This window comes from Homo sapiens, chromosome 5 (assembly GCF_000001405.40).
Source record: "Homo sapiens chromosome 5, GRCh38.p14 Primary Assembly".
NCBI classification, from domain to species: Eukaryota; Metazoa; Chordata; class Mammalia; order Primates; family Hominidae; genus Homo; species Homo sapiens.
The window spans coordinates 1,432,820-1,455,262 of NC_000005.10; the positions used below are offsets into that span (position 1 = coordinate 1,432,820).

Sequence of the window (22,443 nt, forward strand, 5' to 3'; positions counted from 1 at the left end):
CCCTGATGCCAGACAGCATCTTCAAACATGCAGGGAAGGCCCGTGAAAGGCCTGAGACCAGATTTCACACTGTGACCACAGAGAAGAAGCTGCCCACTCCCCAAAACCATGCACTCCTACACAAGGACTTTCAGGGTGTCTCTGAGAGACATCCAGAGCCAGCAAGGTCACCCAGAGCTATGGCGAGTATCCAGGGCCACCCTTATGCACCCAGAGACCCCCAGGGACACCAAGGTCACCCCCAGCCACATATGGTCATCCATCCCCACCACAGCCACTCAGGATCCATAAGAGTCATCCAGGATCATTGAGGCCATCTAGGGGGTACTCTGGGTGACCCAGGGCAACCCAACTCATGGTTAACCAGGGCTATCAGGCCCATGTGAAACCATCAGAATCATCCACGGCCACCCAGAAGCACCCAGGGCTACCTAGGGAGCCCATGCAAATAGGGCCATCAAAGGTCGTCTAGGGTTACCCAGGAACACCCAGTGTCTCCCAGAGCCATCAAGACTGCCAATAGTCACTAAGGGACACCTGGGGTCCTTGACAGCCATCCACAGCCACCAGGCTCATTCAGGACTATGGAGGGCACCCAGGACCACATATGGCCACCCAGGCTAATCCAGGGCCACTTTGAGTCGCAAAGGGCCATCCATGGCCATCCACAGCCATCTCCATTCATCCACAACTATCCACGGTCAGCTATAGCCATCCTCAACCATTCATGGCCATCCACGGCCATCCACATCCATCCGCAGCCATCCACAACCATCCATCCATCCACAGCCATCCACAGTCATCCATGGCCATCCACATCCACCCCTGGCCATCCACAACAATCCACTGTCATTCACAACCATCCACAGCCATCTACAGACATCCACAACTATCCATGGTCATCCATAGCCATCCACAACCATTCATGGCCACCCACATCCATCCACGGCCATCCACAACCATCCATCCATCCACAACCATCCACAACCATCCACACCCAACCACAACCATCCACATCCATCCACAGCCATCCATAGTCATCCATGGCTGTCCACAACCTCCCACATCCACCCGGCCATCCACAACAATCCATTGCCATTCAAAACCATCCACAGCCATCTACAGACATCCACAGCCATCCACAGCCATCTGCATTTGCCCATAACTATCTACGGCCACCCATGGCCATCCACAGCCACCCATGGCCATCCAGAGCCATCCATAGCCATCTATGGCCATCTGTGGCCATCTATAGCTGCTCATGCCTCTCCTGCAAGACTACTCAGAAGAGTCATCTGAGCTCATTTACAGCCATGTGGAGCCATCCAAGGTCACACTACCCATGCATGACCATCCAGGGTTTCCTAGAATCACCCAGGGCCACGTAAGACCACCAGGGTCCACCCAGGGCAGGTAAGATCATCCAGGGCTTCCTTGGGCCACCCAGAGCCTTGCATGACTATGAAGGACTACTCAGAGCCATGTTTGACCTTCCGAGGCCTTCCAGGGCCATGCAAGACCATCAAGGACCAGCCAGGGCCATCCATGGCCATGCAATGCCATCCACGGTCTTTTAGAGTGTCCTTTCCAGGATCACAGACCTGGAATTTGGGATCCATCATTTATGGGGTCTCCTGGTAAACTGGAACAGAACTCAGTGGTCAGCAGTCTTTGGAGTGGTGTCAGCCTGACTGGTGGGCAGATGGGCCTGGTGGTCAGATGACTTCCTCCTTGTTCACTGCTGGATGGGCACCATCACGTTCTTGCTACTGGGGTTCACTTTACTAAGCTCCAGGAAGAATTTTTTTCATTTCCACATTTCTTCTCAGTTTACTGACATGATTAGTTTGGGTACAACTTTGATTTACTTTATTAAAACCCAGTAGGCACCATGCCGTCTTGCCTGTTCATGGCCGGGGTAGGAGCATACCTTCAAGGTGACTTTTGCAGGGGGTGGCCTGGGTTGCTTTTTATAGTCTCAATCCTTAGGAGAAGCTGTTCTCATGCTCAGGGCACCTCAGTAAAGTTCTCTTCCTACCTTGAAAGCAAAAAGAAGACTCAAAACTTTGTTTTAAACAAATCTAAGATCAGGAGTGCGGGTAATCCCCCTTGGAAAGCATGCTCAGTAGTGGTGACGATGAAAGCCAAGCTGCTGCCTTTGGAAGGTCTTCTCCTATGTGGATCTGGTCCATATTAAATAATTCTGTATTGCAGTCTGTCATGGATTGCCTTTGAAAAGCCTTCTCCCATATGGATCTGGTCCATATTAAATAATTCTGTATTGCAGTCTGTCACGGATTGCCTTTGGAAGGCCTTCTCCCACGTGGATCTGGTCCATATTAAATAATTCTATATTACCGTCTGTCCGGAGTCCCTTAGGAGAGAGGCTGGGTTGTGATCCACAGTGAACTCACCCAGGCAGCCAGGTTGGGAGCCACACTGTCGGTGAGCCACATTGTTTCCAGAGAGCACTGTGGAGGGTTTTCCATGGTGGTAACTGACAATGGATGCCCAATTTGAAAATTTTTCAAGGTTAAAACTTTCTGTATCAAGTCCTTAGCTTGAAACCCTGGGAAGTCCTTGATCAAACAACACCAGAGTGGATCCCAATCCAGAGTCCGAAGGAAGGGCTGAGTGTACCCTGGGTCCTTCCAGAGCCACTGCTTTTGTTTCCTGCCCTGCACCACAGATTGGCAGGGCCACCATGGGAGCATGACATCACCATGGCCACTGTGCATGACATCACCACTGGCCACACTGGCTGATGCGGCTCCCAGAGCAAATGGGCCTGCTCTGATCCATGGGACAGTGCAGCCCCCACACCAGAGTCCCCCTTACCAAGAGGACCCCTCCTGGTTGAGGATGCTTCCCTGGGCACCTGGGTGAGGAAATGGCTCCCTTGAACAGTGGTGGCCAGTCCCCTCCTGGATGCTTCCCTGGGCACCTGGGTGAGGAAATGGCTCCCTTGAACGGTGGTGGCCAGTCCCCTCCTGGATGCTTCCCTGGGCACCTGGGTGAGGAAATGGCTCCCTTGAACGGTGGTGGCCAGTCCCCTCCTGGATGCTTCCCTGGGCACCTGGGTGAGGAAACAGCCTTGAACGGTGGTGGCCAGTCCCCTCCTGGATGCTTCCCTGGGCACCTCGGTGAGGAAATGGCTCCCTTGAACAGTGGTGGCCAGTCCCCTCCTGGATGCTTCCCTGGGCACCTGGGTGAGGAAATGGCTCCCTTGAACGGTGGTGGCCAGTCCCCTCCTGGATGCTTCCCTGGGCACCTGGGTGAGGAAATGGCTCCCTTGAACGGTAGTGGCCACTGTCAGCACTGGCCAGGCATTCGGTTGCTCCAAGCCCTGCCCTTCAGGAAGGCAGAGCCCGTGACCTGGGCCACTGACGTGTAGCCCCTCACCAACCAGCCAACTTCACCACGAGCTCCTCAAGCTCACCGAAGGCCCAGACGCAGGAAACCCACTACCCTGTTGGCTACAGAACCTTCTAGTGATCTCTGCTCATGACATCACTGTGGGCTCCAGATGAAGCTTCACCTGACACATTTCTTAAACACCATTTAGTGACACGGGAGACTGTCTCCCCAAGGAGGTGGCAGGCAAAGTCCCTGCTCGCGTTTCCAGGGAAAACATTCATGAGAACATGGCGCTTCCCTTCCCTCCTGTCTGACTCCCAGGAAGCTCGGCGCTAAGTGTGAATTTCAAGCATAGCTTTTAAGGCCCATTTCCTTAAATTTATTTTTGCTTAGTATCTTTTTCTTTATATTAACCTTGTGTGTAGTTTGTTTTGTGTTTGAGAAATCACACTAAAATATGACTGACTATAAAATATTTTATATTCAATACAATCGAATGGTGGGGTTTCCAGGGCGTCTGTAAAATGGGGTTGCCCTTGGCAATGAAACCGAAACCTGACAAACAGAAGCTGGCTGAGGGTCGTGCCTGCAAATGGTGCTTCGCCCACCAGAGCACGGCCACCCTGCCCCACCCCTGAACACCAGTACACCCCAGGGCACCCACGAGAGCTGGCTTCAGGAGAGGGTGTTGTCAACGCATGCACGGATCCCGCTGGAGGAAGCCTCTGGTGGAGCAGCCCCTCCATACCTCACAGGAGGCATCAAGCAGGTCTTTGGAAGAAAGACGGGAGAGGGCCGGGCACGGTGGCTCACTCCTGTAATCCCAGCACTTTGGGAGGCCAAGGCAGGCGGATCATGAGGTCAGGCAATCGAGACCATCCTGGCTAACACGATGAAACCCCGTCTCTACTAAAAATACAAAAAATTAGCGGGGCGTGGTGGCACGCACCTGTAGCCCCAGCTACTCGGGAGGCTGGGGCAGGAGAATCGCTTGAACCCGGGACGCGCAGGTGACAGTGAGCCAAGATCGCGCCTTTGCACTCCAGCCTGGTGACAGAGCGAGATTCCGTCTCACAAAAAAAAAAAAAAAGAAAAGAAAAGAAAAGAAAGAGGGGAGAGGACGCCTCTCTGTGTCAGTCTGGGTGTCTTTAGTATGTGCTTGCTGTGTGTGCATGTACCCGAGAGACAGAGAGGAGAAGAGACAGAACAGGAGAGAGACAGAGAGGAGAAGAGACAGAACAGGAGAGACACAGAGAGGAAAGGAGGGAGAGAGACAGAAAGAGACACAGGGAGAGGGAAAGAGAGCGAGGGGAAGGGAGGAGACGGAGAGTTTTAAAGACCCACCTCTCAGGACCCTGGGGTGCACTGCGGGGCTGAAGGCCCCAGAGGCCCCTCTGGCTGTGGTGCCCATCCCAAGCTGCTCTGGTGAGACTACGGGAAATGCACGTGAGTCATGGCTGCTGAGCAGCTGGGCCTCACCATGAACTCCGCCCTCTGGCTTTCAAGGGTGGATCTTGGCTCCCAGTTAGGAGCAGGGAGCAGCTCGCAGGTCTGCAGGAGGGGAAGGGCCAGGAACAACCAGGCTTCCTGGAGAGCTGGCTTCATTCCCCCATGGAATTGCCACCTGCTCAGGGCTGGATGGCCTTTTAGCTCCACAATGATTGTTGTGGGCACTTTAGCTGATGTCTTAATTTACCACGTGGCACTTCTATTCAATGAGACATGAAAACGTATGCATTTTTATTAACCAGATTTTTAAAAAGGACAAAGGCACATGTATCAGGGTGCCGGGGGTGCATGGTGTACATCTGATTTCATAAGCAATGTCAGTCTCCTCTAAACTGGCATCCTGCGCTTGACAGGTAGGCAGAACAAACGGGACGCTGGCACCGGAACCTGCAGCGTTACTGAGATTCAACAACTCAAGGTGTCTCGTCTCTAAAAAGAAGTCCAGCTTTCTTGCACTGATTCATCTATCCCTTCGTGGGTCGAACAGTTCACTTTCTGTGATTTGCAATTTTCCTTCCTCACCAGGACTAGGTGAGTGTGAACAAGCTCTTCCAAAGATCCGCCCGCAGGGCCACGAGCCTTCCTTCCTGCGGCCACACTTTGCAGCCCTCCTCTGGGACTAGTCTTCAGAACGAAGCTGGCGGCATGGAATGCGGGATTGTGGGCACAGGGTCTGTGACACAGAGGAGACGACTGCCCAGCTTACCCCGGCTGCGCATTGTGGAGAACACGATGATATGCCCACATCCGCCGGCTGCATTTCTTCAGAACGAGGTGCCACTGCTCACGCTGATGGAAGTCAGAGGTTCTCTACTAGCCCAAGTTGAGTTGGTGCTCTGAAATTCTTAGAAATTGCTTCTTGACATTTTATGGACTACACCATGAAGACCCACAACGGCAGCTTTGTTGGTGAACATCCTTTCTGTGTGACAGACGGAAGGAAATGAGCTCTTATCTGCGGACCTACAGGTCCCTTTTTCTCCTGCCCTCCTCACCTGAATCCTGCACGTGAAGAGGTGATTTAACTTGCTCCAACACCAGGCTCACTGGCGGGAGTGGGGCACAGGGCTGTGCCTTGTAAGACACTTGTGACAGACTCCAGGGTGGCTCTTGAAAATCCAGCAAAGCACAGTTGGATGTCGCTGCAGCCTGTGCCAGAGCACAATGTCATCTTTCCTCAGTTTCCCCTACCCCAGTGGGCCGGCTTCATCTCTGACTCAGCATCCCAAGGCTCTGAGCCCTCAGATACTCTCCAACACGGACCACGGTGCAAGCTCAGCATCGCTTACGACTGCAGGCTCAGAGGCAGCACTCCTCTCTGAAACACGTCCGTGCCGCTGGCCAGGGCCAGGCAGGACACAGGTAACGCGTGTGTCTTGAACTGTTAGCCTGGGTTCACTGCAACGCCGGATTTGACACGCGCCCCTGTCTGTCTGTAACAACAGGCCTGGGTCTTCCGTTGGCTGCTGCATTCTTCCATTGGGGACCTGATATCAGGGACCTGACGACGGGGACGGAGGCATGTTCTGAGCAATTCTTGTACGGTTTGACTTCTACCTGCAGATCCCGCCAAGGGGTCGTCTGGCACCAGTGCATGCCCAAAGCATCTGTCTCTCACTCTGAAGATGTGTGTGGGGTGGGGGTGGGGGTGGGGGTGGGGAGGGAGGCCTCTTTTTGTAGCTCCATTTCAGTGCAGTCCAGTGAATGTGGAGCCCAGGAAGAAATTACTGAAGTCATAAGATTCACTAAGCAGCCCATTAAGAACGAATGAGTCTCGTGCCTGGGAAGAACCATCACACCTGTCCAGTCTCAGCATTTCCACGGCTGCGAGACTGACTTCTCCTCCTGGAGCCTGACCTCAGCAGCTGTGAAATGCCATCTGTTCCCTCTCCTAAGGGAGGTCAGCGGCTCGCCTCTGAAGGCCCACCCCTGACCCATTGGTAATGCGTCCTGGGGCCGTGCTGGGCTCGGCTGTCTTCTAAACACACAGCTTTTCCAGAACTTCTATGAGTATCCAGAGGCTGACCTTCTAGTAGTCATTTTCTTAATGCCAATTTTCTGAGTGGTGCCTCTGAGTAAATGCCTGAATCCTCCCTGAACCACCAGCCCCTGAGAGGTGGCTTTGGCCCACTGGGCAAGTGTGACCTGCGTGCAGGGATTGGGGAGTCAGAAACGTCTGGGATCAAATCCCACTCTGCTCTGATGGGGACACCAGGGGGAACGACCCCGGCCCTCTGGTCCTCAGCATCTGCATCTCCAACACAGAGACCTAGTGTGTGCCCTTCCCAGGGTCTCATGAAGATGGAGTCAGAAATGCTGGGAGAGGGCTTGGTGCTGGGCAGGCCACCTGCACTCAACACGAGGTGTGTCCATTTCATGGTGCCAGAGCAGGACATCAGCAGCCGGAAAGGTTCAGTGACAACTAGATGGATCAATAGCTAGTAGATAGGTGGATAGGTCGATAGGTGGATGGATGGATTAATCCATACATAGATGAATGGATGGATGGATGGAACAATGGATAACAGATGGATGAATGGATAGATGAATAGATAGAAGATGGATGGATGGATAGATCCATAGATAGATGAATGGATGAATGAATGGATGGATGGATAGATAGATGGATCGATAGGTAGATGGATGGATCAATAGATAATGGATGGATGGATGGATGGATGGATGATAGATCCATAGATAGATGAATGGATGGATGACTGGATGGGTGGATGAATGGATTGATAGGTGGATGGATCAAAAGAAAATAGATGGATGAATGGGTAGATGACAGACGGGTGAATAGATGATTGACAGATAATAGATAGATAGAATTGTGGGATGTGTCCCTCCCCCAAGTTCATCTGTTGAAGTTCTAACCCCGCAAACCTCAGAATGTGACTTTATTTAGAGACAAGGTCTTTACAGAGGTGATCAAGTTAAAGTGAGGTCATTAGGGTGTCCCTAATCCAACAGGACTTCTGGCCTCATAAAAACGGGGAATTTGGTTACAGAGATATGCATAGAAGCAAGAAGTATAAAGAGGCACAGGGAGAAGACAATCTCTGAGACAAGGAGAGAGGCTAGAACAGATGCTTCCTCACAGCCTCAGAAGAAATCAACCCTACAGACACCTTGATCTTGGACTTCCAGCCTCCAGAGCTGTGAGACAATAAACGTGTGCCTTTTAAGCCTCCCAGTTTGTGTCATTTGTTACAGCAGCCACAGGAAACAGATACAGATAGATGATGATGATAGATGGATGGATTAGGTAGATAGGTAGATAGATGGGTGAATGATTGATATAAAGACCAATAATAAAGATAGATAATGGATAGATAGATAACAGATGATTGACGGATGGACCGATGGATGATAGGTAGATGGCAGATCCATAGATAGACATGTGTTTTATCTTAACTACATTTTAGCATCTTGACAAAGTAACACCACAAATGAATTGCAGGACCCTCACCTAGAGCAAGGGAATGAACTATCCAGTCCTTGTCACTGCAGATCTTTAAGGTGGGACCCAAGTTCAAGTGGCGTGTGCCATGCCTGTGTCTTAGCAAAGCAGGGCTGGATGCCCATGATGCGGCTGGCTTGCTTTGAAAGCTCCAGCGTCACCACCATGATCCGCGCTGCGCCAGGGTGAAGGGAGGCACCCGCATATTACCTTTCAGTATGGGGCAGATCTTCCAGACACCAGCGGCCCCTTCCCTGTTGAACTGGCCGAGGGCCAGCTCCATGTAGAAAAGTGGCATCCCAGCAATGACCATGAAGAGCAGGTAGGGGACCAGGAAGGCACCTGTGGGGCAGAAAAGCACCTTTAGTTTGGGGCCTCGGAAGGGCCCATCTCTCCTCGTGGGAGCTTGGGCGGCTACCCCAGTCAACCATCCATGTCCTGGCCCGACCGTTTCACCCCACTCTCCAACGGGAAGTCCCAGGCTAGGGTAGATGAGTCCCGAAGCCCGCCCTCCACTGCTGTCAGTGCCTGACACGTCCCTCCTGGATCCCCTTGTCATTGCGCACCTCGAGCCATGAAGTCAAACCCAAGAGCAGCACAGGGAGGCCCTGCCCATGCTCAGCGGTGCTCTAGGTACTATCCTTCCCCGTGGTGGTTCGGGGTGCCCTTCCCTGGCCTGCGTCCCCCCACTTTGCCCTGATCCTCTTTGCCTCTTGAGTTGTGAATCTGTGACCCCCCAACTCTGCCCCTGAGCTGAGTGGGCCCTGCCGTCCTGTCCCCAGCTTCTGGGGCCCTCAGAGGCTGCCCCTATTGACTGTGGCTGAGGGTCTTTGCTGCCCCAGGTGCTGGGAGCCCCTCCAGGGTAAGGCCTAGTTCCTCTGAAACCTGCACCTCCCCCACCCCCAGCACAAAGCCCAGGGAACCCTGGTCTCAACCTCCTAAATTCCCTCTGCTCCCCTGGTCTGACTGGAGTGAGGGAGAGCTTTGCCACTCTCTCTCCTGGGGAAGGGGAGGGGGAGGCATGGGGCCCCTCAGCTCTGTCTTTGGGCAACTTCCTGTACCTGCTGAGGCCTCTGTCTTCCCCTCTTCAAGATGGGCATAAAAATGCCAGCCTCCTCGCAGGCATCCTGTGAGGCTTCCCCCCAGATTCTTCCCCAGGCCTCCCTTCCCAGACCTAGCATAGAGGCCAATGAGGGAGGCCAGGCAGGGAGGCTGGGAGGCCCAAAGAGGCTCCTGGGAAGGGATCACCAATGTTCTTGGACGTCCCCGGTGGCCCTGCCTCGATCTTCGCTTTCTGGCTCTGTGGCTGGGTTCTGGAGGGTGCAGGGGACACAGTCACTTTCCAGGGGCCTCCTCTGCCACTCCAGGCTCCAGGGCCTCCACATGCTTTGCAAAGGCTGCCAAAGTCAGCCGCAGGCTGTTCTTTGGACCTTTGAGAATTTTCTTTCCAAAGCGAAGATAGCCTCTGGAAACAGGAGGCAGAGCCAAGCTGCCCCGTCTGCCGCCCCCCACCCCCCAGCTTCTTCGCGGGCCTCCCTTTCCTAAACTCTGAAATGCAGGCGTGGGACAAGGCAGCTCCGAGTCCTGCTCAATGGTTTTGTGACATCCTCTGGGAGGATCTGCACCGGCCGTGAGCTCTCACAGGGAGCTCCGTCTTCACGCATGGGAACAGCTTCATCTCGTTTCCGTACGTGCCTTGGCCCCGGCTGCCCCTACGACCCCCGCCCGGCCAGCATGCTCAGGGAGGCTGAGATGGGACTTACCGCCACCATTTTTGTAGCACAGGTAGGGGAACCGCCAGACGTTGGCCAGGTCCACAGCAAAGCCAATGACGGACAGGAGAAAGTCGATCTTCTTGCCCCAGGTCTCCCGATCCTGGGCCTCCACGGGGCTCTGCCGCGGGTTGGTGAGGGTGGAGCTGGTGAGCTGCACTCCGTTCTGCTCCTTGACAAGGATGAGCTCCACCTCCTTCGGGCCCACGGCATTGGGCTCCTTAGCCGGGGCCACCACGGAAGACATGAGTCCCACGGAGCATTTGCTCTTACTCATGGGCACACTGGGAGTTGAGGAATTCTGTGCTTCTTCCCTCTTGGTCTTCAGCCAATATGAAAAATAAACACACAACAGGAACGCAACAATTCAGCAGCCAGGGCTAGGGACATACCTGGTGCGGAGGGCAGAGCCCCGAGGCATTCACGGGCATTCCTCTGGGAAGGGATGGGTGCGTTCTCAGCGCCTGAGATGGTACAGCTGGGGCACGGGAGCTGGGAAGTGCCAGCCCTCACCACAGGGCTGGGGCACTGGCCCATGGAGGCCTCAAGACAGACACTCTGGTTTGCTCCTCCTTCCCCTGCACCCCTCCCCACTCCTATCAAAGTGCAAGGCTGTGTGAGCTCTAGCGTGGCTTTCTACTAACAATGCATGGATATCACTTCCACCTTCCCCCACACTTCCAGAGAGCAATTTTACAATCTTCTAAGAGCATTCAATAATGTCTTCATGACTGTTCATCTGTATTCTTTTTTCTTTTTTTTTTCTTTTTTAACATGAGGTCTCGCTCTGTCACCCAGGATGGAATACAGTTGTGATTACAACTCACTGCCTCAACCTCCTAGGTTCAAGTGATCCTTGCACCTCAGCCTCCTGAGCAGCTGAGACTACAGGTGTGCACCACAGCACCGGCTAAGTTATTTTTGTGTGTGTTTTTTTGTTGTTGTTGTTGTTTTTTTGTAGAGACAGGGTCTGACTATTGTTGCCAAGGCTGGTTTTGAACTCCTGGTCTCAAGCGATCCTCCTGCCTCAGCCTCCCAAAGTGCTGAGATGACAGGCATGAGCCACCAAGCCTGGGCTTGTATTGTTTATACTCAGTAATAAAGAGCAAAATTTATATAAGCAAAATCAGCCACTGTAAAGAGAGTTTAGACATAACCATCACAACTGCTTCCTCAAAAAGTGTCTGTACAAGCCACATCCACCTAGGGCAGGTGGCACCACCCCGCGTGAGAGAGCTGGGCGGAGGATGGACAGGGCTTCATCGCGGGAACTAGCTCCTGGGCCAGCAGGGTAACCCGGGAAATCCTGTCCAAACGGCTACATAAACCCCCCTGCAACGCTGAGCAGGAGAGCAGGAGCGTCTACACCGCCCCAGCCAGGGCGACTTCTGTCATTTGGATCCAGCAGCAGCGTGTTTCAGTCGAGCGCACGCACACACAGACACACAGACACACACAGACTCACAAACACACATACACACTCACACACACACAGGCGAGCACATACACTTACACACATACACACTCACACTCACACAGGTGCGCACACACACACAACGACTGAAGCAGGTCGCAGGTGGAGGCTCTAACAGGCAACTTTCCCTGCATCCAAGTTTGCACAAAACCTCACCCATGAGCTATCACGAGCTATGCCACGCACCCGGTGACAACCTCAACCGGCACGACCCCTCCGGTGGGTAAAACACCCGACGAAGGGGTTCCGCGGCGCGAGCAGGAGGCCGCGTTGGGAGAGGGCGTCGGGTGCGGAGCTCGCGAGTCTCCGGCAAGCCGCCGCCGCCCTGGGGCCACCTGACCCCGCTCCTGAACGCGGGGCCTCAGAGGCGAGTTTTGGGTCTACACAGCAAAATGTGGCCCGTTAGAAAGCGTCCTTCCTCACCGCGCCCAGAACAAGAAGCGGCGCTGCCTGGCGAGTCCTCGCCCGGCCTCCCCGCCCTGCCCAGAGCACCAGCGCGCAGCCCGCGCCCGCCACCACCCCCAACACAGACAAAGCCCCCGCGAGATGGAGCGGCGGTGTACAAAACCCACTCCGATCGGATCTGGGATGCGCCGCACCCCTAGTAGGGTTAAGTTCCACGAGAAGAAACCAGGACCCCCGAGTCACAGCCATAGACACCCACGCGTCCCCTAAGCCGGTGACTGCACCAGGTGCCCACCCGGTTCTGAGCCTGGAGCGGGGCCAGGGGCAGCCCTGCACCCTCCTCGCGCCTCGGACGGCCTCAGGGTCCCATGTGGCGCTATCGGGGGGCGCTCGGCACCCGCGACTGTTGGCGACTTTGGAGACGGCGCGGTCTGCGGGACGCGGGGACCCCAGACTGTGCCCGGTCCCCGGCCCCCGCCCCTGCGCCCCACTTCGGGGTCTGCGGAAGGAGCGGGGCGCCCCGATGCCGCGAGCGACGCTGGCCTCACCTGGCCGCCCGGGCCTGGGCTTTGCACGCGAGTCCTGGCGCCGAGAGCGTTCCGCGAAGCCTCCCCTCCCGCTCCGCAGCGCTGGGCGGTCTCAGCCTCGGCCTCGGGCTCTTATCCAGTAGACAGGGTCCGCCCCGCCCCGCCCTCCCGCCGACGGGGTCGCCCTCGCGTCCTGGCTCCTCCTCCTCACCTCCCCGGGCCGCGCCCCCGCCCCCGCCTCCCGGACGCAGATGGCTGGGAGCAAGCGGCGGCCACGGCTCCACTGTCCTGCGCGTCCCGGAGCCTCGGACACGGGGTGCGGGGGCCTGGGGGTCCGAGACGTCGCGGATCTAGACGGGCGCCTTCCACGCGGGAACTGTCTGGGCCGCCCTGCGCCCTCGCCCGCACCCCTGGGGGCTGCCCCGGGCACCCGCTATCTTCGGACGCCCAGGGCTGGCGGCTCCCAGCTGGACGGGGAGGGAGCCGAGCGGCTGCGCGCGGGGAACTGCTGGGACCCCGTCGGGCCGACCCTTCCCTCCCTCCCCATCAGGGGCCCCTACGGTGGCCCCGCGCTCTGGGGACCACGTCCCTCCCACCCCGCCGCTCCACGCTCTGACCAGCGGGCTCGGGACCCCGCCGAGGACTCTGCACGCTTCCCGGCGTGCGGGCTGCGGAGACGCGGGTCCTTCCGTGGCCTTGGGGTCTCCGCGACCTCGAGGCGACCGAGGTCCCCTAGGCCTAGTCCCCGCCTTGCCGGCATCTAGTGCGCCTGCATCGGAACCGAGGGGCCCGCCTCGCACTCGCCTAAGAAAACCATTTCCCGGGACGGGCCTGGAAAGCCCTGGCGGTTGGTATCCGGCTCCAGGGCCGAATGGACTCCGAGGCTTTCCTTCCGAGATGCCCGGGCGGGATTTCTTCCATTCAGCGCGCGGAGGAATGGAGCCCCCAGGCCGCCAAGGCCCAGGATGTCCAGGTCCTTAGAAGGCACCGAGGTGAGTGGCCGCGCCCAGCTCTGTGCGTCGCCCCTAGGGTCGCCCGAACCCCGGCGTTCCTCCCCGTGTACCCTCGATGCTCCCGTGAGCACCCTGCCCTGGGCGTCCAGGCGAGCCCTGGGGCTCTCCAGCCATTCCAGCCTGCAGCCCGCGCTCAGCAGTGAGGGAGGCAGGGACCCTTGGTGCCTGACTCCGCAGTACCCGCCCGCAGCGCGGTGCCCCACCCCCTGCGCCCGCCCCGCACTCCCCGCACACCACCACTCCCCTCCCCGCCCCCCGCTCCCCCGCTCCCCGGCTCCGGGGCTGGCACCCAGGCAGAAGGCACTCAGGGCTGTGACTTCACGCTGAGTTGGAATCAAGTGGGAGCCTAGTGACCCCCTGGGGCTGCCATGACAAAAAACTCCACAGCCTGGGGGCTCACACAGAAGCCTTCAGTTCTAACGGTTCCGGTGTCCCGAGGCCAAGGCCTGGCCGACTCTGTGTCTGGTGAGGGCCGCTTCGGGGTTGCAGACAGTTCTCTCCCTGTATCTCCCCACGCTAGGGGCTGGGGAGAGCTCTCCGGGGTCTGTTTTATGAGGGCACTGGTCCCATTCCTCAGGGTGGAGCCCTCCTGGCCTGACCACCTGAAGGCCTCCTGACACCACCTCCCATCAGGGGTGGGACTTCATCGCCAGGGAGGTGAGGGGACTTCAGGAGAGGGGGATGTGCCACCTCGAAGCTGTAGTGTGTCAGTGGCTGCCACAGAAGGGATCTCTCTACCCCTATTATCTCCATGGCACAGGTTTCAATAAAAAGGAGTGAGCCAGGGCTTGGCCCCAGAGCAGCAGGGTTGAGGAAACAGTCTCCCAAGGAAAAGACTTTGCAGGTGACTAAGGGAGGCTGTTAAATAAAACACACAGAGAGAATGGATGTTCAGGTATATTAAAAATACACAGGCCAGGAGTGAGGGCTCACGCTTGTAATCCCAGCACTCTGGGAGGCCGAGGAAGGAGGATCTCTTGAGGCCAGGAGTTTGAGACCAGCCTGGGCCACATGGCAAAACCCTGACTTTGAAAAAAAAAATTAGCCAGGCATGGTGGCCCACACCTGTAGTCCCAGCTACTGGGGAGGCAGAGGTGGGAGAATAGCTTGAAGCTGGGAGGTGGAGGTTGTAGTGAGCTGAGATTGCGCCATGGGCCACAGGATGAGACCCTGTCTCGAAACAAAACAACACACAGGCAAACAGCGTTTGGGAAGGGATTGCAAGCGCTGCAGGAGCGCAGAATTGTGACCCAAAGCTAACAGGGTACAGGCAGGAAGGTGCAGGGACTAGAGGTCACACAGATCCAGGCAGCCACATCCTTACTGACCAGTAGCACACAGAGAATGCACCTGCCACACTCAGGAGGGGCCACTGAGTGATCACACGCATGTAACCTGCACTCTGCCAAGACAAAGAGCATTCCTCCACCCCTGCCTCAACCCCGACTTCCAACCACATGAATTAGGATAAAGGAGCTTTGGGTGCTCTAAGAACAAACTAACTGCGGGAGTTGGGCTCATGGATGACACAGAGAAAGCGCAGCTGCCAGACCCATGGGTCTCCATCCTCCCACAACAGGAATGCTCCGTGAACTGTGCAGGTAGAAGCAGTGTGGTTATGAGCTGATCAGACCTGATCAAACGGCCGACCTTTGCATGCTTGGAACTTTGCCCTAAATGCCAAGTCGGCTTTATTATCATTGTGGTTGCTGCTATGGCTGCTGTGGGCTCAGGGCGTTGGGTGCAGGCAGGTGGAGCCCCCCTGCCTCTGCACTTCCTGCCCATGCTCGGCACCTCTCCCCACTGGCTGGGACCGCAGCTGCAGAGCCCACAAGGAGCCCCTGGCCACTGACTGCTGTCTCCAAAGCAACCTTGCCCCACGGGTCCCCCCCTCCTTGGGTGCTGCCTCCTGGGAGGCCCTCAGTGCTGGATGTTGCGCCGTGTCTCGCCTGATTTGGAAGACAGCGTGGATGCTCCCCCCATGAGTGCTGTATCTGAGAGGGGACAAGGACAGTGGCAGTGAGATGACAGTCATTTACCTGCCTGCGTATTTACTATATTGAGGGTGTCCTGTGTGCTTTCAGAGGAAGTCCCAGGGAGCCCAGCTCAGACTTTAAAGACCCTGACCTCTCACTGGTGCTGGGAAGGCCCTGGGGGTAGGGGGCTTGGGGAGGGCAAGGGTGAGGGGACCAGTAGGCAGGAGTGGCTTTTGTCCAGGGGTGTGGGAGGTCAGATCCCAGACCTTGTCTGTCCAGGTTCTGAGAATGATGGAAGGCGCTGGCTCCAGGCAGGAGGCCCTGCTCACTGCTGCACCCCTGTGCCCTCCCCGGGGGCCACCTCAGGAGGAAGATAGTTTCCTCTCGCATGGCAGGGACAGCAGTACACTTCCAATGTCTTCTCTCAGAGCTGTATCATTTTCCGGCTCACTGCTGGTTTTAGTCACAGACATCTTGATGGTCTTGCCACTGCACAGCATGTCACAGTGGTCTGCCACACTGATGACATCAGGCTGAATCAACCTGGGGAGCAAAAAATGAAAAATGCCAAGATGCCTTGGTAAGACACGTGCTTGCTAAAAATTGAAAGAGAAAATAACACATTTTCAAAACCTGCCACCTTGGTGAACTTTCTGTGGGTCCATTGGTCTGATTGGTCAAAATATATATCCAAAATGAAAGAAAACACGCTGTCTCTGGCAAGCAAGACTACCACTAAGAAAGAAGTATCATACCTGGTGAGGCTCTTCCGGTTTGCAAGGTGAGGTGCAAGACACTCGGGGATGCTTCTCTGGCCTGTTTTGTGTTCTTCATAAAGCGTTTGGTTTTGAGTAGGGCCCAGAGTAAGAAAGATTCTGCTGCTGGTCTGGATGGGCAAACTGCTGCCCCAGGAGGCCACACAATCTGGTGTTGTTCTCCGACTTTAGCTGGCATCACAGTCACCTACATAAACCTTTACATGCATAGGAGGCACAGATCACCTCGCTCCATCCTTAGAGACGCAGGTTCAGTAGGTCTGAGGTGGGACCTGAGGACCTGCGTTTCTAGAAAGTTCTCAGGTGACACTGACACTGCTGGCCCAGGAACCACACTTTGAGAACACTGATCTGGCAGAACCAGTGGGAATTGGAGGGTCTGTGGCAGACGGAGATGTTGTAGGCAGCGCAGAAAATAACAGTTGAATAAGAGCTGAACGCTCTCCTGAAAATACGTCCTCTCCTTTTGAGTAAGAGCAGCCCTGAGCCATAGCAGAAACTCAGGGAGCTCTGTTACCATAGAAGCTGAGCGGCCCAGCAGAAGCTATTTGTTATCGGACCCACAGAGGTTGTGTAGACAGCATCCTGCCGTCCTCAGGTGGAATGTTTACGACACAAGGCTTGAGCAGGTCTGGAAGGCGCGGTAAGTTCCATGAACAAGCACCCACTCTTGCTGCATGGAGACCGCTTCCTTAACCCAGACCTCTGGCTACATGAGAGTTTCTTATGACATTGAACGGAGAAAATGCATGCGTTGGGGCCTGGATTACATGTGTCTATACACAGCACACTGCCCCCACCAGAAAGTGAAAGGCTGTGTCATCATGGCCTTCTGTGAAAGACCAGTGAAAGAAAGCTTCCCAGTGGGCACATATTCAAACCATGCATCAGGTTCATCATCTAGCCAAGGAGGGATGGCCAGAGGATGGCCCTAAATGTAGTCATAGGCAGTGGCGAATGGTCTGGCTACAGAGCAGGAGGCTTCAAAAAAATTGAAATATTGATGACAAGATTTTTCTTGGTAGATTTCATGTTTGTAGAAAATCTTGAGGAATTTACAAAAAAAACTACTAGAATTTATAAATGAATTTAGCAAGGCCATGGGATCTGATGAAAACCAATTGTATTTCTATGTACTGGCAGCAAACAATTCTAAAATAAAACCTAAAATAATTTCACTTACAATAGCATCCGAAACAAAATGCTTGGGGATAAACCGTATCCGAGACTTGTGCACCGAAAACCTAGAATCCATTGCTGTGAGAAACTTTTGAAAGTCTAGACAAGCAGAGGAGTGTGTATGTTTATGACTGAAAGGCTCAATATTAATGAGATGTCAGTTCTTCATAAATTGACATACAGATTCAATGCAATCTCAATCAAAATTCTAACTTGCTTTTTTGAAGAAATTAACCAGCTGGTTCTAAAATGTGTTTGGAGATGTGGGTGACCTAGAGTAGCCAAAAGAATCTTGAAAAAGAACAACATTGGAGGACCTAGGAGATGCCTTTCATGATTCCACCATCCTAACAAAACTAATTGGACTTTTTTTCTGTAATTATCTCGGCATTTGTGTCTTTTTAAAAACAGCCTTGCTGAGGTGTAATGGATATGCAATATTCCAAGTGTACGATTTGGTGAGTGACTGATGGGGTCATGGCAACGCGATCACACAGAAGATGATGGCGGTGCTCCTCCCTCGCTGACTTCCCTCTGTCTGTGTCTCTTTACCTCTTCCCATCCCCAGGCAACCACTGATTTGCTCTTTTTTTTTTTCTTTTTGTGAGACGGAGTCTCACTCTGTCACCTAGGCTGGAGTGCAGTGGCACGATCTCAGCTCACTGCAGCCTTTGCCTCCTCAGTTCAAGCAATTCTCCTGCCTCAGCCTCCCAAGTAGCTGGGATTACAGATGCCCGCCACCACACCCAGCTAATTTTTGTATTTTTAGTAGAAACAGGGTTTCACTATGTTGGCCAGGCTGGTCTTGAACTCCCAACCTCAAGTGATAAGCTCGCCTTGGCCTCCCAAAATGCTGGAATGATTTGTTTTCTATGATTACAGAACAATGTGTTTTTAATAGAATTTTATATAAATAGAATTATACAGTAAGTACTGTTTTCTGGGTCTGTTCTTTTGCATTCAGCATATTTGAGAAGAATCCACATCATTGCATCGGCAGTTAATTCCCTTTTAGTTATTTGTAGTATCCATTGTGTGGATATGGGATATGATGTACTTGGCTTTTCCATCTGCCTATTGATGGACATCTGGCTGTTACAAATAAAGCTACTATGAACATTTGTGTGCAAGTCTTTGAACATAGGCTCTCATTACTTTGGGGTAGGTAAGAAGTACTTAGTTGTGGAATGGCTGGGTCATTTGGTAGATATATGTTTAACTATTTTTTTAAAAACTGTTAAATTCTTTTGCAAAGTAGTTGTATCATTTTATATTTCCATGAACAGTGTATGATAATTTTAGTTACTTCATATTCTAATGAATACTTAGTATGGTCAGTCTTTTAAATTTTAGACATCCTAATATGTTTACAGTAATATCTCCTATACTGCTCTAATGAGCGTGATCTTTGAACAATTTCTCATGTGTTAGCTGCATCAGTGCCACTTCGTGTTAAGTGTCTGTTCAAATCTTTTGCACCTTTGGGTTGTTTAATTGAGCTTTGAGAGTTCTTTACTATTCTGGATACCAGTCCCTTATCAGATGGGTACTTTGCAAATATTTTTCCCAGTCTTGGACTGTCTTTTCATTCTCTTAATAGATTCTTTCAGAGAAGAGTTATTAATTTTGATGAAGTCTAATTTATCCATTTTTCTTTCACAAATCCTGCTTTTAGTGTTGTATTTAAGAAATCTTTACCAAATTCATGATCATCAAGATTTTCTCCTAAGTTTTCCTCTAAACTTTTTAAAATTATAGATTGCATATTTACACATAGAATGCATTTTTAAACTAGCTTGGTGTAAGACACCAATTGAAGTTCACCACTTTACCTCCGAAGAGCCAGTTGTTCAGTGTTCTGCTGAGTTGCTTTTGCACCTTTGTTGAAAAGTCAGTTGTATGTATGTGTGTGGGTTTATTTCTGGGCTCCCTGTTTTATGATCTGTTAATCCATTTTGATGCTAATACCACACTTGCTGTGGACTGAATTGTTTACCCCCAAATTCATAGGTTAAAGCCATAACCCCCGCAAGGTGACTTTATCTGGAGATAGGGACTTTAGGAGGTGATTAGGTTAAATTAAATTGTAAGGGTGGGGTCATAACCCAGGAGGACTGTGGCCTTATAAGAAGAGGAAGCTCTCTCCATTTTACTTTCTGCCATGTGAAGATAGAGTAAGAAGGCGGCCATCTGCAAGCCAGGAAGAGAGGCCTCACCAGGAACTGAATCAGCTGCCTTGATGTTGGATTTCCAGTCTCCAGAACTGTGAGAAACAAATGTCTGCTGTTAAGCCCCCAAATCTGGTGTATTTTGTTGTGGCAGCCTGAGGAGATTAAAATGGCACTATCTTCATTATGGTCCTTTTGTAATACATTTTTAAATCAGGTAATGTAAGTCAGACAACTTTGTTCATTTTCAAAGTTGTTTTGCATATTCTCGGTCCTGTGCTTTTTCATATGAATTTTGGAATCAACTTTTCAATTTCTTCCAAAGTCCCGCATGGGATTTCTTCGGGTGGAGGCTGCCATCAATTTTTCATCATTATTCCTTTCTGAGGCAGGCTTCATGTCTAGATTTTCTTCTAAGTTCTGATTTAGCCAAATTCCAAAAGGTTTGATATGTTGTTTTGTTTTCATTCAGTTCAAAATATTTTCTGATTTCCCTTTTGATGTCCTCTTTGACCCATTGTTATTTAGATATGTGATTAGTTTCCAAATATTAGAAGATTGTCTGGATATGCTTCTTTATTTTTTGCCAAATGTATTTTTCATTTTGGTATCAAATTTATTTGCCTCTTTGTTGGAGAACTTGCTTTACATGACCTGAATCCCTAAAGGGAATTTTATGGTCTGGACTGTGGTCGATCTTGGTAAGCTTTTCACATGCATTTGAAAAGAATGTGCACTCTGCTATTATTGGATGAATTATTGTATAAATATCAAATAGGTCATGTTAGTTCGTACTGTTTTTGAAGTCTTCTGTATCCTTAAAAGTTTCTGTGTATCTGTTCTATCAACTATTGGGAAAGAGGTATTGAAATCTCCAAGTATAATTGTGTGAACTGCTCTATGTCTCCTTGCAGTTCTATCAGTTTTTGCCGAATTCATTATGAAGCTATGTTATTAGGTACATAAACATTTGTCCTTTTGGTGAACTGATGCTATCATAAAATGACATTGTTTAGACATGATCTGTTTTGAGGATTCCTATGGCTTGCATATTAGGTGGCTTGAAGTCCCACAGTTCTCTGATGCTTGGTTCATTTTTTTGTCTTTTTTCTTTATTTCATTTTGAACAGTTTGCACTGCCATCTATGTCTTCAAGTTCATGTATCCTTTTCTTCTGAGATGTTGAATCCACCCCTCCTCTCAACCAGTGCATTTTGCATCTGAGACATTGTGGTTTTCATCTCTAGAATTTGGATTCGTGTCTTTTAAAAAATATCTGTCATGTCTCTATTAAACATATTCAGTCTCGCCTTTGGCTAGCTCTTGGAATGAGGTAACAGTTATGATTGTCAATGCCTCTCTAATTCTATCATTTGAGTCATCTCTGGGTCTGTTTCTATTGACTGTAGGTCACATTTTCCCACCTTTTTGCATTGTGCTAATTTCCAGTGGATGCCCAGCATTGTGAATTTAACCCTGTTGGTTTGTGGATAACACTGTACTAATGTGAATATTCTGGAAGTTTGTCTTTGGCCACTGGTAAGGTCCCTGTTGTAGTTTGGTCATTCTTTCAGGTTTTGCTTTTAAGCTCTGCCCAGGAGGACCAGAGCAGTGCTTTGCTCAGGGCTGATGCTTCTTCCCTGCTGGGGCAAAGCCCATCTTAGTTTCCTGCCTAATGACCATGTTTCCCAACGGAGGGTAAATCCAGTCTCTACTCTTCCATTTTGACTGGAAGCAAAAATTGTGGACCCATTCACTTTTCTTTTTCTTTTCTTTTCTTTGAGATGGAGTCTCACTCTGTTGCCCAGGCTGGAGTGCAGTGGTGCGATCTCAGCTCTCTGCAACTTCTGCTTCCTGGGTTCAGGCAATTCTCTTGCCTCAGCCTCCAGAGTACCTGGGATTACAGGCGTGCACCACCACACCCAGCTAATTTTCATATTCTTAGTAGAGACAGGGTTTCACTGTGATGGCCACACTGGTCTGGAACTCCTAACCTTAGGTGATCTACATGCCTCAGCCTCCCAAAGTGTTGGGATTACAGGCATGAGCCACTGCGTCTGGCCCCCATTCACTTTTCTTACATTTAAGGGAGTTAATCTGCACCTAGCCAGCCCTTGACAGTGTCACATGACAGACAGTGGCCTCCTCATCAGTATTGCTGTTTCTGTTGTCCTTCCTCAGCAAATGTTTTCCAGTTACTCTTGTAGCTTCTCGGCCAAGTAGCTCAGTTCTGCCCTGGGGAATATGGGCAGAATTCATGACATTTAGCTTCATTTAGATGAGAGAACATACTCTGTGTGATTTAAACATCTTGAAATTTATCTGTGGTCAAGCACATGGTCTATTTTGTCAACTGCTTCATGTGCACTTGAAATGGCACATCATTTGGTGAATAGAGCTGTTTTTCTATGTAACTACATTTTTCCCTGATAGTTATATCAGTTACTAAGAGATCTATGTTAAAATCTCCAACTATGTTTGCAGATTTATTTCTCCTTTAAATCCTGTCATTGATGCTTAATATATTTAAGCTATGTGATTAGATACATGCACTTTTAAACATTGTGTCTTCCAATTGAATTGAACTTTTATCATCATGAAATGTCTGTCTTTAACTCTGCTAATTCTCCTAGTCTCTAAAGTACACTTAGTATGACAATCTTGCCAAATAAACTTTCTTAAGCTTCTGTTTGCATGTTATAAATATATTTCCTATTCTTTTACTTTCTTACCTTTTTGTTTTGTTTTTTTATGAGACAGAGTCTTGCTGTGTCACCCAGGCTGGAGTGCAGTGGCGCAATCTCAGCTCACTGCAACCTCTGCC

At 51.7% G+C, this 22,443-nt stretch overlaps 1 protein-coding gene across 1 annotated transcript in view, besides 2 other annotated features; it reads right to left on the reverse strand.

The window, feature by feature from the left end:
• SLC6A3 (solute carrier family 6 member 3) overlaps positions 1-12,621 on the reverse strand; it is a 52,647-nt gene extending 40,026 nt beyond the window's left edge. The window contains exons 1-3 of the mRNA NM_001044.5: positions 12,529-12,621; positions 10,093-10,423; positions 8,540-8,671 (exon numbers count right to left, since the gene is read on the reverse strand). Coding sequence (NP_001035.1) covers positions 8,540-8,671; positions 10,093-10,378 — 418 coding nt within the window. The 5' untranslated portion in view covers positions 10,379-10,423; positions 12,529-12,621. The remainder of the gene's footprint in view (positions 1-8,539; positions 8,672-10,092; positions 10,424-12,528) is intronic.
• Positions 6,013-6,694: an enhancer, noted in NCBI's record as "H3K4me1 hESC enhancer chr5:1438947-1439628 (GRCh37/hg19 assembly coordinates)". NCBI's record gives its function as "activates a minimal SCP1, AML or CMV promoter by ChIP-STARR-seq in naive H9 embryonic stem cells {active_cell/tissue: H9 hESC(naive)}" and the evidence as "EXISTENCE:reporter gene assay evidence [ECO:0000049][PMID:30033119]".
• Positions 13,259-13,758: an enhancer, noted in NCBI's record as "H3K4me1 hESC enhancer chr5:1446193-1446692 (GRCh37/hg19 assembly coordinates)". NCBI's record gives its function as "activates a minimal SCP1, AML or CMV promoter by ChIP-STARR-seq in naive H9 embryonic stem cells {active_cell/tissue: H9 hESC(naive)}" and the evidence as "EXISTENCE:reporter gene assay evidence [ECO:0000049][PMID:30033119]".